The sequence below is a fragment of the Homo sapiens genome, chromosome 4 (genome assembly GCF_000001405.40).
Source record: "Homo sapiens chromosome 4, GRCh38.p14 Primary Assembly".
NCBI classification, from domain to species: Eukaryota; Metazoa; Chordata; class Mammalia; order Primates; family Hominidae; genus Homo; species Homo sapiens.
The window spans coordinates 186,214,926-186,234,179 of record NC_000004.12 but is presented as its reverse complement, the minus strand read 5'-3'; the positions used below and the strand labels follow the sequence as shown (position 1 = coordinate 186,234,179).

The 19,254-nt window shown below is 39.2% G+C and overlaps 1 protein-coding gene across 8 annotated transcripts in view, besides 1 other annotated feature; it reads right to left on the bottom strand.

The window, feature by feature from the left end:
- The window catches only part of KLKB1 (kallikrein B1), a 47,619-nt gene that overhangs the window by 24,292 nt on the left and 4,073 nt on the right, over positions 1-19,254 (bottom strand). For 5 of the 8 annotated variants that reach the window (XM_011531930.3, XM_017008182.2, NM_001318396.2 and 2 more), the window contains exons 1-4: positions 6,593-6,673; positions 5,927-5,985; positions 1,891-2,053; positions 122-228 (exon numbers count right to left, since the gene is read on the bottom strand). In XM_011531930.3, the coding sequence (XP_011530232.1) occupies positions 122-228; positions 1,891-2,053; positions 5,927-5,984 (328 nt within the window). In that variant the 5' untranslated portion in view covers position 5,985; positions 6,593-6,673. Of the gene's footprint in view, positions 1-121; positions 229-1,890; positions 2,054-5,190; positions 5,310-5,926; positions 5,986-6,592; positions 6,674-17,632; positions 18,467-19,254 lie in introns of those variants that run through there. The other 3 variants (XM_047415661.1, NM_001318394.2, XM_017008181.2) reach the window with 3 other exon arrangements.
- Positions 7,496-8,166: an enhancer, noted in NCBI's record as "NANOG-H3K27ac-H3K4me1 hESC enhancer chr4:187147168-187147838 (GRCh37/hg19 assembly coordinates)". NCBI's record gives its function as "activates a minimal SCP1, AML or CMV promoter by ChIP-STARR-seq in naive H9 embryonic stem cells {active_cell/tissue: H9 hESC(naive)}" and the evidence as "EXISTENCE:reporter gene assay evidence [ECO:0000049][PMID:30033119]".

Genomic DNA, 19,254 nt, shown 5'->3' with positions numbered 1-19,254 from the left:
CATCTCCTATCTTTATGAGTGATGCCTTCCAAAAAGCTGTAGCAGTACAAACTTTGAGCAAAAGCTGTTCTAAGCGAGATCCAATATTAACTCAAATGTAGCTAAGAAATTCACAACTTACCACTTATTTGATGACCACATTGCTTCAAGGAATGTCCAGAAACTGCACCTGTTCGATGTACTTTTGGCAGGGTTCCTGTAACACTATCTTTCAAGAAGCAACCAAACCTATTTTAAAAGTAGCTTTACTTAGGAAGTAGAATAATAAACATACATTGAGGAAATGTCTAGCATTTTCTACACACTAACAAATAAAACCAGGAATAAGGAAAATAATATAGCTTCCCCAATACTTGCTGGAAAGAACACTCTTAGAGCTAATTTTATAACACCCCATAATATCTAACTCCATCACTGCGTTTTCTTTACACTCACATTTTTTAAGTACAGGAAATCAACCATATTAAAGAGTTAATGATTTTTCCTGTGTTCTTAAACTTTCAGGCAACTATGTTCTCAATTGGTAATTATTTTTGCAAATACTTTCATTTACTTAAAAAGTTAACTTAGTGATAAGAGCTGGATTTGTATATCGTGTTCATCTTGCTTATTAACTCCTTGTAGTCTGCACTTAATGGAAGACTTCCCTCTGTCTTAGATGTCCACCTTCATGTTAATTTCATTATTTATAAGAATTCTAGAACCTTCCTCCACTTTTAATATGATGATCCTCACATACAATCTGAGTTTTCTCTACAAGTTTAACATGTGGGATCAGAGAATGACTATCCAATTTCTAGTTGGTAAACTCACATAGAGTGAAGATGAGTAAAGAGTTATGAACATGGAAATGGGAACAACAAAGAAAAGCTTACTCTGGATATTAATCAAAAGGAAAAATCATTAAGATGAAACTGTGGCTCGTGATTAATAAGCATCTCTCTGACCTAATAAAAATTGTAATTACCGCTGGGTGCGGTGGCTCATGCCTGTAATCCCAGCACATTAGGAGGTAGAGGCAGGTGGATCACGAGGTCAGGAGTTCAAGGCCAGCCTGGCCAATGTGGTGAAACCCCGTCTCTACTAAAACTACAAAAATTAGCTGGACGTGGTGGTGCGTGCCTGTAATCCCAGCTACTTGGGAGGCTGAGGCAGGAGAATCGCTTGAACCTGGGAGGTGGAAGTTGCAGTGAGCCGAGATCACGCCACTGCACTCCAGCCTGGGCTACAAAGCGAGACTCCATCACACACACACACAAAATCGTAAGTACTATTTTTCCAATACTTTTACAAATTTCCAGTTAATAATACATATTCACACAAGCACAAGCACACATACACACACACACCATACATAGCATCATGCCACAGGTGCCCAAACTGGCTCACTATAGGCCCCATTTAGAACTGCCCTGTCCCAAAATCACAAGTTCTAGATCTTTCTCAATTACATTCTCAGCAAAATGCTTGTCTTATGTTATTTTCTTTGGACTGTGCTATCCGCTAATGTGATCATGGGTCACACAGTTAAATCTGTTTCTTTATTCAGATGAAATGTGCACCTGTTAGACTCTTTCTTGAGACAATCCCTTAGCCCAATGATATTCAAGCATTTTGAGGCTTTGAATAGAAAATGACTAGCTTCTACTACTTTAAAGAAACACAGTGATTGTTTAAAATGCAGATTCCTGGTCACAAGAAACTTTGGTTCAGCAGATCTGGGTTGTGGCCTAGGAATCTGCATTTGTAAGAACCACTTGACGGGATTTTGCTGAAGCTGGTCCTTGAACCCCGTGTGAGGAAGAACTCTCAGTTATACTACACCTTTCTGCACAAAACTGATTCAGTTTTGAAAAACAGCTTCTCCAATAATGAAATACCAACTTTTACCTTTTCTCCATGTCATTGATTGAACTTGCTGGAAGAAAACTGAATAGCAAACACCTTGGGTGGAATGTGCACCTCATCTGGCAGTATTGGGCATTTGGGGTGTACATGGAAGCTACATCCCCACCTCTGAAGAAGGCGTTTTCATAGAGTTGAGTCAGACATCCTGTGACAGAACCATAAAAATTAATTTGCGATAATTCATATAATAATTTTAATAAAAAGATATCTGTTGTCTTAACTTCTCCCACTGACTGACTACTCAAAGACCTGTATAATACAACTCTAATTATGCTGAGAAAATAAAATATATTAAGGCAACTATTTGAACAATGTATAGTGTTATTTAATTTTCTGGGTACTTCTGTATAAAACATTGGCTTATTTTCATTAAATTGCACAATAATTTGCACATAAATTCCCCACAATAAAATAAAATCCTAACTTAGTTTTTTCCTGTTGCCTGACATGCTATGAAAACATCATGCCTTAAAAAGAATAATATTTGCTCTATTTTCAAAACACTTTTGTAACAAACATCTCCACCAGCTTCTCACAATTCTGTAAGGGAAATTAGAGGCAGGCTTTGTTATCTGCATCTGGACTATGTTTTTTAAAAGAAAGTTAAATAACTGAGTCTCAGGGCACACAGACTTGCCCAAGATCCACACAGTTAGTGAAAGTCCTGTGACGGTCACCCAGCCCTGACTCCCAATCCTGTGTCCTTTTCTAGCATGCAATGCTAAACATTGTTCCTCATCTCAGTATGATTGAAACAAACTGACAGTATTTTTTACTCATTTTTAAGACAGTTTAAGCAAATGCATGCATATGCTAAATTGAAAATAAATTTTGAACTATTTGCTGTTTGGAATTATTCCCAGCTCTAAAATATACTGCACCCCACATATTATTAGAGAATTCGGTGTCTTTACTGGCTTTAATTTGTAAATTTGGATTTACCGGGAAAGACTGTCTTTGAAATCTGGTTAATAAGCTTTCCTGTTCAGGTAGCACATTCATTTCAGTTGTCAACTGGGACCATTAACCATGGCTATTCCAATGACAACCTGTCCATTCCCTGGGGCAGTAGTTACTCTTCAATTTAAATAGTACCTATTTTTTATTGCCTTTGAGGGAGTGGGCAGCTTAGACCACGTGCATTTTATTAAGCACTGGAGAGTGCCATCTTCTCTGCACTATCCTACCCCCTGGGGATTTGGCCCTGAGCCCCATTATGACCACCCAACCCAACAAGACTGCCTCTCTCCCTCTCTGAGGTGTGGCCAAGATGACCACCTCTCGGGTAAGGTTTATATTTGGAAAGAGCACAGATCTCTTCAAGTGGAAGCTTTTGGGAATACAAGTGTATTGCCTAGATTTCATGTATGCACAAAACATGGAGGAGTTGGTTTAGTGACAATACTAGTTACAAAAAGGCCTATTTTTTTCAGACAGTTGGTGGTTTTGACTGACTCATAATTATCAAGCAGTCACTCCTCTTCCAGCCCCCAGTTCCCATGCAAGGATGCATACAATGGCAGGTCCTGGCCCAGAGCTTCTCATTCTGCAACTGAGCCTCTGTGAACTGCTATGTGACAGTCAGGGAAGGGAGTGACTAGAAAGACACCAATTTTGTTGCTGAATGGAAAGAAACTTCTAGTAGGTGTTCTTGCTTATCCTCATAAGTTGGTGATCATGATGATAATGATGACCATGACAATGATAGCTGTGTCTGTGCTGTATTTTGGAGCCTATGTAAAGTACTATTATATAATTTATCTCATAATGATGGTGGCTTTCAAAGCTTTTACATGGGCCCCCATGTCCATGGACTTTGGGCAGATTATTCAGTCTTGTTTAACAATTCCACAAACAATAATGAGAATTAAAGTACTCAAATTTTAAAGAATTAGATAACAAATATGAAAAGATAATTTACAAAAGAAATAGAAGTGATTAGTAAGTATATGAAAATGGGAAGAATCACAAATATAGCCAAGTTAAAACAACTAGAAGCCATTTTATCCCTGAGATTAGCAAAAATGAAAAATTAAATAACCAGTGTTTGTATACTGGTTTTGATTGCAAATGATGGAAAACCTAGTACAAAGTGGCTTGAAAACAAATGAAATCTATTGGTTCAGGAGCCAAAAAGCCCATGGTGAATCTGGCTTAAAAAGTAACTGCACATTGTGCTCAACTGATAGCATCAGTGGACAATATGTCTCCTTCCACTTGCTCCAGTCTTGGTGTTACCATTACTCTCAAGCTCCACGTAGTAGCAAAATAGTACCAACAACTCAGGCCTGTGTATTGTCTTAAGTTTCAAGTCAAATTGGAAAAAAAAAACATAAGAGTCTTATTTCTAGATGTCTAAAGAAAAGCTTCATTGCAAGACGTTGGCTCTGATTGGGTCACCACAGCCAGGAGGATGTGTGCACTTTCTGGTTCAGCAGAAGAATCAGGGTCACCAGAACCACATGGACCAAAACTGAGAGGCAGTAGCTCTGCAGAAATAAATTAGGACACTGTTTCCAGAAAGATAAATATGTCAGGATGCAAAGCAACAGAAGCCTGTTAGAGTTGGCCTAAGTGGGGTAAATGAGCACTCTTATTAGCTGGTAGAAAAAGTCAACTATGGAGTAAACTTTCTGAAACCTAATTTCATGATACCACACCACAAAACCTTCAAAAATATTCACACCTTTGAATCTAGTATTTTTATTTCAAAAATTGTATTCTACAGAAATAACTGAATAAGAGCATAAGAATGTGCACACAAAAATACCATAAAAAGAGAAGAATAGCAAGCTCCAAAATATATTACTTATTTGCACCAAAAGATAGCTATAAGTGGAAAATGCAAGTCAAAGAGTGTCCACAGTTAATAACTCTTTTTTGTGAAATGTGCAAATAGGTATATGTAGAAAAATATCTGAAAGACTAAATAAAAGATGTTTAACGATGACTGTTTCTGAATTTGGGGACTACATGCAATATGTAGTTTCTAAATTTTTGCTTACTTACATCCCTGATTTTCCTAGCCATAATCATGATTTATTTTGCCAAAAAACAAAACAAAACAAAAAAATGAAAAACCCCCTGTAGTTGGCTGTGGTTCCCAGTGTCTCTGGCTTATGCTCCTTCTCACCTTTCAGTGGGTTTGCACATGGGTTTGTAAATTACGGTTTAGAAGAGAAATCAGGGTTGAGGGACAGACACAGGGGAGTTGTGATTTAGGGGGAATAAAAGTCTTTTTTCCTGGAAAAAAAAAGGTCTCTTTATGAATGTAAACCTTACCTATAGATGTTTATTGTAGCCATACATCTGAGGAAAATTAAATACTCATTGTTGTGTGGCCCTCTTAAGTCACCATAGACCCAGAATCATGCCTTGTGGGGACACAGAGAAAACTCCCTCTGTAATGATTAATGAAATGTCCAGAATCATTTTTATTCTCCAAAAATTAATGAAATTAATAGAGAAATGAGATCTAAATCTGGTGTTGAAAGCTATTCACCTAGAACTATCCAAATGCATGGTTTGCTAAGTTAAATTTAAACCAGTTACTTTCATTTTTGAAATGGTTCCCTAGCGGTCCAGAGTAAAACTATGTATGGTGTTCCTAACAGATACTTGGATTGGACCCAGACACTATAAAATGCCTAGCACTCTTTTGAATTTTCAGATAAAGTTTAATTTTTTACTGTTGATAATAAAAATAGAGGACTAATTTTTTTTTGTTTCAAGTTTTGCTTTGCAGAGTGTCATCTGCGAACAGAAGTTTTTGTTAACACAAGTCCCAAGACATTCCTACTTCTGAGCTCCTTCCTCTGGTCTGCAACATATGTCTACAGCAATATACCTGACAAGTGGTCCTTGTTGTGGAACATTAAATAGACACGTGTCCTGAATCATCAGGGACAATCTCCACCCCCGAAGCTGTATGTTCAATAGCTTTCTCCAGGGGTGGTGCCACTTGCTTGGCTACTCCTGTCTTAGCCTGAATTCCATGTTTTATAGATAATTCACTTACCACAGGAAACTGTAGCAAACAAGGAAATGAAATAAGTTGCTTGCTTGAATAAAATCATTCTAAAAAAGAAAACAATACATAACTCTGCTGGTTTTAGACCACATTTAACATAAATCTTAATTTAAGGTGATTTAGATTTTCTTGTAAATGTCTGAATTGCAAGACAAAGCACACAATTACTGGTATAGAAAACAAGGGTTTTTTTTTGGTACATTTGTGTCTAGGGAGTTGGAAAATTTATAATGCTTCCCAAGATACAAATTGAGACCTCCAGACTACTGTTGTGTTTATTGTTCATTGGCCAACTCTGTGGCTAGTAATGTTGGAAAGGGAATTGGTAGAGAGAGAGTAAACAATTATGAAACCTCTTGATTTGGGCAAAAACAAAATTAATAAATAATGGCAATAATGTCAGTCCAAAAATCCCTAAGTAAAGAAAACCTCTGAAAATATTAAAGCCCATTTAAAAATTTTAAATCAATCAAATATTCTTTCTGATTTAAAATCATCTTACATTTAAATATTTCTACATAAAGGAACATTATCTATACTCTCTACATACTCAGGAAATTAGAATATAAATGATTAATTTTCTCATAAAGTAAAAAATTATACTTAAAAATTATAGTTTATTTGGAAACAATCAGAATAATAAAAATTTGCTACCTGAAAACACAATTGCTTCTTGGAGGTGAGTCTCTTGTCACTTAAAAATGAACGGTCTTCAAGCTGTTCTAATGTGGCACTGCAGGCAATATTTTGCTTGGCTTCAATATTGACTTTGGGTTTCTGCCAACAGTTTCAACTTTTTGTCCTGTCAACATATTCCATGAACATCCTATCCGTGTTCAGCTGTTAAGTATATTAACTATTTCAGGGAGTGATGTCAGCAAGAATAGGAATAGGAGTTTGTCAGAACAGGAGTTTCTAGCGCTCATCCCTTGCAGAAACATCAATTCGAACAAGTATCCATGCACGAAAATAACTTCACTAGAGCTAAGGAATCAGGTGAGAGGTTATGCCACCTGGTTGCAGCACAGAAATAAGAAAAGACACATAGAAGTGTATAGGAAGGACAATTTCACATTACCGGTGTCATCTCACCTTCAAGCCTGGGCAGCACAGTATGGAGAGAGATGCCCTCTTGCATGGAGGAGGGACAGTTAAGATAGAACCTAACTTCACCACAGATCCCAAGCACCAAGCCCACTCCAGTAAACCCCAGCACCAGGATTCAGGCCTGCCACAGGCCAGACCAGCCTCTGTGGCCTCAGCCCCATGCTCACCCCAGACCAGGTCAGCCCCTGGGGCTTCAGGCTCCAAGATGGCCACACAAAACCTAGACTTCAGGCCTGCTCCAGCTCTAGCCTGGCCCCCAAGACTCTATCTAGCCTCCACGTTAGCCCCAGCAACCCCAGGCTCCAAGTTGGCACCCATGGGCCTAGAATCCAGGCCATCCCCTGCAGATCCAGCACCAGGTCAGCCTCCAGAGATCTTGGCTCCATGCTGGGCCATGTGGACCCAGATGCTGGGCTCACCCCAGTGGACCTTGTTCCCAGGACAGCCTGAATAAACTCAGGAACAGGCCTATCCCCATGAACTCAGGTGCCAGGTGATCCCCATGTTAGGCTGGCCCCTGCAGACGCAGGCTTAAGGCTCATTTCAGTGCCAAGTCAGCCCCCAAGGATCCATGCTTCAAGCCAGTCCTTGTGCACAGAATACAGACAACCACAGTGAATGAACCCAGAATCCAGCCCTTCCCACCTTAGAACTCCAGCAGAAATCCTGTGCATAGACCCCAACAGACAGCCCACCAACAATCTCTGGTCAATCTGACTAGTGAATGGCTTTCTCTGCTGAAGCTAGTATGTAAAGACTGAAATAGGTGCCTACTTCAGTGCAAGGCCACACTGATCACAAATAATCGGGGAAACAAGAAACCACCAAAGGAAGGAAATAAAGCAGCAGGAGGTGACCCTAAAGAAATGGAGATCTTTACTGCATGACAAGAGCTAAAAATAATTGCCTTAAGAAAGCTCAATAAGCTACAAAACAATATAGATAGACAGTAAACAAAATCAGGAAAACAATACATGAGCAAAATTAGAAGTTCAACAAAAAGATAGATAGGAACCATAAAAAAGAATGAAACAGAAATTCTGGAGCTAAAGAACAAAATGACTGAATTGAAAAAATTCACAAACAGCTTCAGCAGCAGACTAGATCAAGCAGGAGAAAGAATCAGCATGCTCAGATACAGGTCATTTGAAATTACCCAGTCAGAGTAATAAAAGGAATGATAAAAATTGCAGAAAGCTGACAAGACTTATAGGACACTGTTAAGAAAATTAATATGCATTAGAAGAGTTCCAGAAGAAGTAGAGAAAGAGAAAGTTGCAGAAACTTATTTAAAAAAATAAGAATAGAAAACTCTCAAAATTTGGAGACATAAATGAAATAAACATCCAGATTTATGAAGCCCAAAAGAACTCCAAATAGATTAAATATAAAGAGATCCTCGGCCAGGTGCAGTGGCTCATGCCTGTAATCCCAGCACTTTGGGAGGCCAAGATGGGTGGATCATGAGGTCAGGAGATCGAGACCATCCTGGCTAACACAGTGAAACCCCATCTCTACTAAAAATACAAAAAAAATTTAGCCAGGCGTGGTGGTGGGCACCTGTAGTCTCAGCTACTCCAGAGGCTGAGACAGGAAAATGGTGTGAACCCAGGAGACGGAGCTTGCAGTGAGCCGAGATTGCGCCACTGCACACTGCACTCCAGCCTGGACAACAGAGCTAGACTCCATCTAAAAAAAAAAAAAAAAAAAAGAAATCCTCACCATGACAAAGAGAGAATTTTCAAAGAAGCAAGAGAAAAGCAATTCTTCACATACAAGGGAAGCTTCATAAGATTATTGGTGGATTTCTCAGCAGAAATCATGTAGGCCAAGAGAGAGTGGGATGATATATTCAAAGTATTGAAAGTACAAAACCTGGCAACCAAGAATATAATATCAGGCAAAGCTGTCCTTCAGAAAGGAAGGAGACAAAAAGAATTTCCCAGATGTATTAGTCCAGTTTCACACTGCTGTAAAGATACTACCTGAGACTGGGTAATTTATAAACAAAAGAGGTTTAACTGACTCACAGTTACCCATGGCTGGGGAGGCCTCAGGAAACTTATAATCACGATGGAAGGCAGAGGGGAAGCAGACACCTTCTTCACAAGGTGATACGAGAGAGAGAGTGTGTATGTGCAGGGGAAACTGTCACTTTTAAATCCCTCACTATCATGAGATCACAGCACAGGGGAAACCACCTCCATGATCCAATCACCTCTCACCAGGCCCCTCCCATGTAATCCCATGTGGGGATTACAATTCAAGACGAGATTTGGATGAGGACACAGAGCCAAACCATATCATTCTTCCCCTGGCCTTTCCCAAATCTCATGTCCTTTTCAGATTTCAAAACCAATGATGTCTTTCCAACAGTCCCCCAAAGTCTTAACTCATTCCACAGTAACCCAAAAGTCCGAGTCCAAAGTCTCATTTGAGACAAGGCAAGTCCCTTCCCTCAATGAGCCTTTAAAATAAAAAACAAGTTAGTTACTTCCAAAACACAATGTGGGTACAGGAATTGGGTAAATGTTCCCATTCCAAATGGGAGAAATTGGCCAAAATAAAGGGGCCACAGGTCCCAAGCATATGCAAAACCTAGCAGGGAAGTCATTAAATTTTAAAGCTCCAAAATAATCTCCTTGGAGCCCCTGTCTCACACCCAGGGCATGCTGATGCAAGGTGTGGGCTGTTAAGGCCTTGGGCAGCTCTGTCCCTGTGGCTTTGCAGGGTACAGCCCCTACGGCTGCCTTCATGGGCCGGCACTGAGTGCCTGCAACTTTCCAGTCAGTGGATCTACCATTCTGGCATCTGGAAGATGGGGGAACTCTTTTCACAGCTCCACTGGGCAGTGCTCCAGTGGGGTCTCTGTGTGTGGGCTCCAACCCCACAGTTCACCTCTGCACTGCCCTAATAGAGGTTCTCCATGAGGGCTGGGTCCCTGCAGCAGGCTTCTGCCTGGACAGCCAGGTGTTTCCACACATCCTGTGAAATCTAGGCAGAGGCTCTCAAAGCTCAGCTCTTGTTTTCTGTGAACTCGCAGACCCAAGAGCACGTGGAAGCCACCAAGGCTTGGGGCTTGCACCCTTGAAGCGACAGCCTGAGCTATGGACCCTTTTAGTCACAGCTGGAGCTGGAGTGGCTGGGGCACAGGGCACCAAGTCCCAAGGCTGCACAGAGCAGCAGGGCCCATGAAACCATTTTTCCCTCCTAGGCCTCTGGGCTTGTAATGGGAGGGGCTGCCTTGAAGACCTCTGAAATGCCCTGGAGACATTTCCCCATTGTTTGGCAATTAACATTCAGCTCCTGATTACTTATGTAAATTTCTGCAGCCGGCTTGAATTCCTCCTCAGAAAATTGGTTTTTCTTTTCTACCACATGGTCAGGCTGCAAAATTTCCAAACTTTTATGCTTTGCTTCCCTTTTAAACATAAGTTCCAATTTCATACCATCTCTTTGTGAACGCATATGACTTGACTGTATGCTTTCAGAAAAAGCCAGGTTATATTTGAATGCTTTTCTGCTTAGAAATTTATTCTGACAGATACCCTAAATCATCTCTCTCAAGTTCAAAGCTCCACAGATCTCTAGGGCAGGGGCAAAATGCTGCCAGTCTCTGCTAAAGCATAGCAAGAATGGCCTTTGCTCCAGTTCCCAATAGTTTCTCGTCTCCATCTGAGACCATCTCAGCCTGGACTTCATTGTCAATACGACTATCAGCATTTTGGTCAAAACCATTCAACAAGTCTCTAGGAAGTTTCAAACTTTCCCACATCTTCCTATCTTCTAAGCCCTCCAAACTGTTCCAACCTCTGCCTGTTACCCAGTTTCAAAGTTGCCTTCACATTTTCAGGTTGTCTTTATAGCAGTACCTCACTCTGCCAGTACCAATTCTCTGTATTGTTTATTTTCACACTGCTAAAAGATATCACCTGAGACTGGGTAATTTATAAACAAAAGAGGTCTAAATGACTCACAGTTCCTCATGGCTGGGGAGGCCTCAGGAAACTTACAATTATGGTGGAAGGTGAAGGGGAAGCAGGTACCTTCTTCACAAGGCAGCAGGAGAGAGAGAGAGCATGTGCGCACGGGTAACCACCACTTTTAAACCATCAGATCTCATGAGAACACCCTCACTATCATGAGAACATAATGGGGGAAAACACCTCGTGATCCAATCATCTCCCAACAGGTCCCTCCTTTGACACCTGGGGATTGCAATTCGAGATGAGATTTGGGTGGAAGTTCAGGAACAAATCATATCACCAGACAAATAAAAGCTGTGGGATTTCAACACCATTAAACCTGCCTTACAAAAAATGCTAAAGGGAATTCTCAAGTTTAAACAAAAGGACACTAACTAACATGAAAACAAATGAAAGAATAAAACTCTATTAAAGGTATTCTTATACAGTCAAATACAGAATACTCCAATACTGTTATTGTGCAACAGTCACTTTTAACTCTAGTATAAAAGTTAAAAAACAAAAGTATTAACAAATAACTATAACTACAACAATTTGCTAATGAATACACAACATACAAAAGATATAAACTATGGCATGAATAATAAAATGTGGGAGGAGGAGAAGTTAAAATACAGTATTTTTAAATGCAGTCAAAGTTGTTACCAGATTAAAATGGATGGTTATAACTATGAAATATTTTATGTAAACCTCATGATAACCACAAAGAAAAAGTCTGTAGTAGATATACAAAACATAAAGAGAAAGGAACCAAAGCAAATTGCTCCAAAAAAGTTATTAAGTCACAAAGGAAGACAGTGAGACAAAAAGAAGCAACAAAGGAACTACAAAACAATCAGAAAACAATTAACAACATGATAGTAGTAAGCCTTTACCTACCAATAATTACTTTAGATGTAAATGTATTAAATTATCCAATCAAAAGAGAGAGTGGATGAGTGAATAAAAAACAAGATCTAACTATATGCTGCCTGTAAGAGACTAACTTTAGCTTTAAGGACAGACATAAGCTGGAAGTGAAGGGATGAAAAAGAGATTGCATTCACATGATAACCAAACGAAAGCAGAGGTGGCTATCCTTATAACAGATGAGATAGAGTTTAAGTCAAATACTGTCACAAGAGACAGAGAAGGTCATTATATAATGGTAAAAGGGTGAATTCATTAAGAGGATATAACAATTGTAAATACACATGTACCCAAAATCAGTGCATCTAAATCTATAAAGCAAATATTAACATAACTAAAGGAGAAATAAATAGCAACATGCTTTCAACAATGAATAGATCACCTGGACAGAAAATCAACAAGGAAACTGTGGATTTCAAAATGCTATAAACCAATAGACCTAACGGACATGTGCAGAACATTCCTTTCAAAAGCAGCAGAATGCACATTCTTTTTAAGTGCACACAGAACACTCTCCAGGATAGGTTATATGTTAGGCCATGGAAAACATCTTAACAAATTTAAGGATTGAAATCATATCAAGTATCTTTTCCAACCATAATGGCATAAAAGTAGAACTCAGTAACAGAAGGAAAAATGGAAAATTCACAAATACATGAAAATTAACATACTCCTGAACAACCAATGAGTCAAAGAAGAAATCAAAAGGAAAATCAAAAAATGTCTTGAGAAAAATGAAAAGAGAAACAAAATTTGTGGCATTGAAAATTTATGGGATGCAGCAAAAGCAGTTCTAAGAAGGAAGTTTATAGCGATAAATACCTACCTTAAGAAAATGGAAAGATCTGAAATATCCTAACTTTACACCTGAAGCAATAAGAAAGTAAAAAAAAAAAACTAAGCCCAAAGACAGAGGAAGAAAGAAAATAATAAAGATCAGAGCAGAGATAAATGAAATAGAGACTAGAAAAACAACAGAAAAGGTCAATGACACTGTTATTGTTTTTAAAAAGATAAATCAAGAAATCTTTAGCCTAATTAGGAGAAAAAGAAAAAAAACTCAAATAAAATTATAAATGAAGGAGGAAAGATTACAATGGATACCACAGAAATACAGAAAATCATGAGACTACTATGAAAAACAGTACATCAACTAATTAAATAATGTAGAAGAAATAGATAAATTCCTAGGAACATACAACCTACCAAGACTGAATCAGGAAGAAATAGAAAATCTGAACAAACCAATAATGAGTAAGGAGGTTGAATCAGAAATAAAAACTCTCAACTAAGAAAAGCTCAGCACCTGATGTCTTCATTGGTGAAGTCTATAAACATTTAAAGAATTAACACCAATCCTTCTCAAACTCTTTCAAATAATTGAAAAGGAGGAAACACTTCCAATCTCATTTAATGAGGCCAGCATTACTTTGATAGCAGAGCCAAACAAGGACATCACAATAAAATAAAATTAAAATTATAGATCAATATTCCTGATGAACATAGATCCAGAAATCCTGAAGAAAATATTAGCCAGACTAAATTCAACAACACATTAAAAGGATCATGATCAACTGAGCCTAGGATGCAAGGATGGTTCAACATATGCAACTCAATAAATGCTATATACCACATTCACAAAATGAAGGATAAAAATCATATGATCATCTGAAGAGAGGCACTTACAACTACATGCAGAATCTAAAAAAGTCAAAGTCATGCTAACAGAGAGTAGAATGGTGGTAGCCAGAGTATGGGGAGTGCCAGCTATGGGGTGGTTTTGGTCAAAAGGTCCAAAGTTCCAATTATGCAGTGTGAATAAGTTGGAGGATCTAATGTACAACATTGTTTCCCGTCATCCTGAAGCAGCTGTATTGATAGAACGGTGGAATGGCCTTTTGAAGTCACAATTACAATGCCAACTAGGGGACAATACTTTGCAGGGCTGGGGCAAAATTCTCCAGAAGGCTATGTATGCTCTGAATCAACATCCAATATATGGCACCGTTTCTCCCATAGCCAGGATTCACAGGTCTAGGAATCAAGGGGCAGAAGTGGAAGTGGCACCACTCACCATCACCCCTAGCTATCCACTAGCAAAATTTTTGCTTCCTGTTCCCAATACATTACCTTCTGCTTGCTTAGTTGTGTTAGTTTCAGAGGGAAAAATGCTGCCACCAGAAGACACAACAAGGATTCCATTAAACTGGAAGTTAAGCTTGCCACCTGGACACTTTGAGATCCTTTTACCTCTAAGTCAACAGGCTCAGAAGGGAGTTGCAGTGTTGGCTGTGGTGATTGACCTGGACTATCAAGATGAAGTTAGTCTATTACTCCACAGTGGAGGTAAGGAAGAGTATGCAAGGAATACAGGAGATCCCTTCAGGCAACTCTTAGTATTACCATGCCCTGTGATTAAGGTCAATGGGAAACTACAACAGCCCAATCCAGGCAGTGCTACATAAGGCCCAGACCCCTTAGGAATGAATGTTTGGGTCACTCCACCAGGTAAAAAACCACAACCTGCTGAGATGCTTGCTGAAGGCAAAAGGAATACAGAATGGGTAGTAGAAGAAGGTAGTCATCAATACCGGCTATGCCCACGTGACCAGCTGCAGAAATGAGGACTGTAATTGTCATATTTCCTCCTTATTTTGTTAGGAACATGTTTGTGTATGTATACACTTGTACTAAGAAAATATCTTCATTTTATTTCCTTTCTTTTTCCTTTATCATGTGACATAAGATTTATTTACTTCAAATCAGCATTTAAATGTTGTTAACTTTATGTAACAGCATTTGGGTTGGGGATTGGTACACTTCTGGTTGTACGAAGGATAGCTGTATTATGTATTACCTAACATAATTATGACCTTATTATTATCTTTATTTGAAGATTATATATGATTTCAGGAGATGCGTATGGGTTCAAGTAGACAAGGGGTGGACTTGTGATGGTTAATATTGAGTGTCGGCTTGACTGGATTGAAGGATGCCAAGTATTGTTCCTGGATGTGTCTGTGAGGGTGTTGCCAAAGGAGATTAATATTTGAGTCAGTTGACTGGGAGAGGCAGACCCACCCTCAATCTGGGTGGGCACCATCTCAGCTGCCAGCCGGGCTAGGATAAAAGCAGGCAGAGGAACGTGGAAGGACTAGACTGGCTAAGTCTTCTGGCCCTCATCTTTCTCCTGTGCTGGATGTTTCCTGCCCTTGAACATTGTACTCCAAGTTCTTCAGCTTTTGGACTCTTGGAGTTACACCAGTGGTTTGCCAAGGGCTCTTGGACCTTTGACCACAGACTGAAGGCTGCACTGTTGACTTTCTTGCTTTTGAGGTTTTGGGACTTAGACTGGCTTCCTTGCTCCTCAGCCTGCAGGCAGACTATTGTGGGACTTCACCTTGTGATCGTGTGAGTCAATACTCTTTAATAAACTCCCCTTTATATGTACATCTATCCTATTAGTTCTGTCCTTCTAGAGAACCCTGACTAATGCAAACATGGTGACTATAGTTCATAATACTGTATCGTATACATGAACTTCACTAGAGAATAGATCTGATGGGTTCTCAGCACACACACATGCGCACACACACACACACACACACACTATGTAAAATAATGGACATGTTAATTAGCTTGACTATGGTAATCATTTCACAATGTACATGTATATCAAAACACTATCTTGTACACAGTAGATATATATAATTTTTATTTGTAAATGATACATAAAAAAAGGTAGAAAAATGCTGCACTCAAAAGGACCCTAATTTCATTTTAGGGTCACACAGTTTATGCACAGGTTTCCATTTTAAAAAATGCTTATAACATTCCCAGTATTTAGTGGCATGTAGTTGAAACCTCATCTAACAGAACTTTTTTTTATTAGAGTTGCTTGCAGGCACAGTGAATAATGGATGGGTATGGATAGCTCCTCCTAGAGGGATATTTTAGCAAATGATATCTATGCCTTCCTACACCCTACCAAAGAATCATATAACACTGAAATCTTAGATTTGGAAGGGACTGGCTTGATGTTTAGGTCCTATTCCCACCCAATTCAGGAAATGCAATATATCAGGCTTGACAAACCACAGTTCACAGACCACATTTGGCTTTGCACCTGTTTTTGTAAATAAAGTTTTATTGAAACACAGCCATGGCCATTCATTCACTTGCTGTCTATGCCTGCTTTCACCTTACAATGGCAGAGTTAAGAAGTTGCTACAGAGGCAGCATGGCCTCAAAAGCCAAGAAGATTTACTATCTGACTCTACAGATAAGGTTGGCTGAAATCTGCTGGATAACACTTCTGACATAGACTTTAGACCTTCCTGTCAAAATACTTCGACTGAGGAGAAACTGGTTTCCTAAGCAGCCTGCTCCAACTCAGGGAGCTCTATTTTAATTTTATTTTATTTCAGAGCTCAGGGAGCTCTATTTTAATTTTATTTTTAAGAAAAGAAAAAAACTTCCTGTATACTGAAATACACCTCCTTGCAAACTTCTATCCTTCAGTCCTAGATTTACGTACTAGACCCACACAAAACAACTGATTCTCCTTTTTCTGCTTTTAAAATATTTAAAGACCACAATGACCTGCCCACTAAATCTCCTTTGTTTTCTATTCTTTGAAATTACAGTATATCATCTTGATTAGTACATTAGAGTTTTTGGAGTCGATTCTTAAATAAATATTTTATGTATATTACTGGAATGCAGAACTACATTTATTAGAAATGTAGGATAATGTTGCCAATAAAATATTTTCTGGTGAGAAGGAAGTAGCATATTTTAAATATGCATGTTGTGCTGTCTTTTAGGATATCAAGTGGTGCAGCAGTAGTCAACAAATCTCTCCACTTTGTGCAGTAGAAAAGAGTTTATATTTTAGATTTCATCAGCTACCAGGCTCAGCAGAAAACAAGAACAACAACAACAACAACAAAACAACTGGGACAAAAGCACCCTGCCTTCACATCACAGCAGAAACCCTCAGGGTTTGTTTTTCTAAAAGGTGAGATTACAGACTTTTAACCTATTTAAATATGCTTCTAGGTTTAGTTGGAGTTTTCTTACAGTGAAACATGTTACATTCTAGTAGCACAATAAAACTAAAAAAACCTCTGTAGATTCAGGTGAACCAAATCAGAACTAAATTGAAAAGAGGCGTGGTAAGTAGAATTCTAAAACATTCTCCCAAATCTCCCACTCAAATCCTGGGGACAGTGAATAAAACGAGATATCACATCTGCCCATGATTATGTTACATGAGAAAAGCAATTCTGCAGATGGGGTTAAGATTACTAAACACTTGGCTTTGTGCCAATCAAAATGGAGTCAATCAGAGTGGGCCAAATCTTATTACATGAGCCCATTAAAAGCAGAGTTTTCCTCTGCGGTCAGCATAAGGAGATGTCAGAGAGATTCAGAGCGTTAAGAGGGATTGACAGCAGGGAAGTGCTCCAGCGCTGGCTTTGAGATGGGTCACGGGGAAGGACCTGAGAGTCATCTCTGGACAAGAGCCAAAAAGAACATGGGGATTTCACCCCTACCATCCCAAAGCACTGAATATTCCAACAAACTGCACGTGCTTGAAAGAGGATTTTTCTCCAGAACCTCCCCTTAGACACGTGCCAGGATGGAGCCCTCTCCACCTCCCCTTGTCCCAGATCCCCACGTGACTCACTTCAATCAGACCACTGCTCAAACATCATCTCCTCAGGATACCATCCTCCAGCAAGCATCTCATCTGAAAAGGCACCTTCCATCTCTTCCACCTCCTGTCTCTTCACCATTCTTTGTCTTTCTGCGTAACGCTTCTCACTCCCTGCCATTCTGTTACCTCCTTGTCCATTTCTCTGTTGTTTTTCAGACGCCCACTGTCTGTAACACCTTGCTGGTAGGACTGGGGCTTGCTTGCTGTCTTTCCCCAGCTCCCTCAATAGAACTTGGCAGACTTTTATGAATGAAAGAGTAAAACGATAAATAAATAAGCACATGAATAAGGAATGAAATATCTTTTAAAAACAAGAGATTGAGGACAGGAAGGTTGCTTTCCCCGCAGTTGTGGACCATCTCATCCTCACATGAAAGTCACAATCGCACATGTAAGCTATTACCTGCCAGTCTTAGATGACACTGAAAATGATTGTTGGATGAATTCTGATTGGTCCTTGTTCTGCTGAATGCCCTTTGCTGGGAGCAAATGTCGTCTTGAGGTTCCGTCCAATTGCATCATATGAGACACTGCAGTCCTTGCCTTTCCAGAACAGCATTGCTTTTGGTAATAATAAACCAACACTGGCTACAACATCAAGCATTATTGATGGGAGTCAAAATTAAGGCATAGACAGCTGAAAAAACTGAAGCACAATCCCACTCCTAGGAAGATGTGGCAATATGAAAAAATTAGTTGTGCCTGAGTGATTTAAATGTCTTAATTTAGCCTGGGAAACATGGCCAAACCCCAACTGTACAAGAAAAATTACAAAAATTAGCCAGGCACGGTGGCATGCACCTGTAGTCCTAGCTACTCAGCAGACTGAGGTGGGATGATCCCTTGAGCGCAGTAGGTGAAGGTTGCAGTGAGCCACAATTGCGCCACTGCACTCCGGCCTAGGTGACCCTGTCTCAAAAAATAGATAGATAGATAAATAAATAAATAAATAAATAAATGTCTTAATTTACTGTATTTCCATAAGCATAAAACTTAAAACTTGGGCTTGACTTGCGCAAGCAAGGACGCAAAGCCTAGAGGTAGAATATAGAAAAAAAAAAAGGAAAGCAAGCAAGCAAGGAGAGAGAGAGAGAAAGCAAGAGAGAAAGCAAGGAAAGAAAGAAGAAAGCAAGGAAAGAAGGAAGGAAGGAAGGAAGGAAAGAAAGAAGGAAAGAAAGAGAAAGAAAGAGAAAGAAAGAGAAAGAAAGGCTACTCTCCTTCCCAGGAGTGCCCAATAGATACTCCTGTGCCTACATATTTTTTTTTTTTTTTACTATTCAGCTAAAACATGTATTTTAAAACTATATATGGAATCTGAAAGTAAACTGAAAACATTTTTAAAATAAGACAGTCATGTCTAAATATTGTGATAATTTTTCTTCCCGATAAGATCTATAATGTCTGTATGACCCTTACTGAAGGAACAAAGTTATCCCAACATTTTTATATAGGAATCTGAGTTTCATTTAAGTACAGCCGTTATTTCTGTGAAACATAAATTGAGTAGTATCAGGAAAGGCAGAGATCAATAAATGCAAACCACAACAGAAAGAAAGTGACGGGTAAAGAGGAGAGATAATGATGGGAAGGAG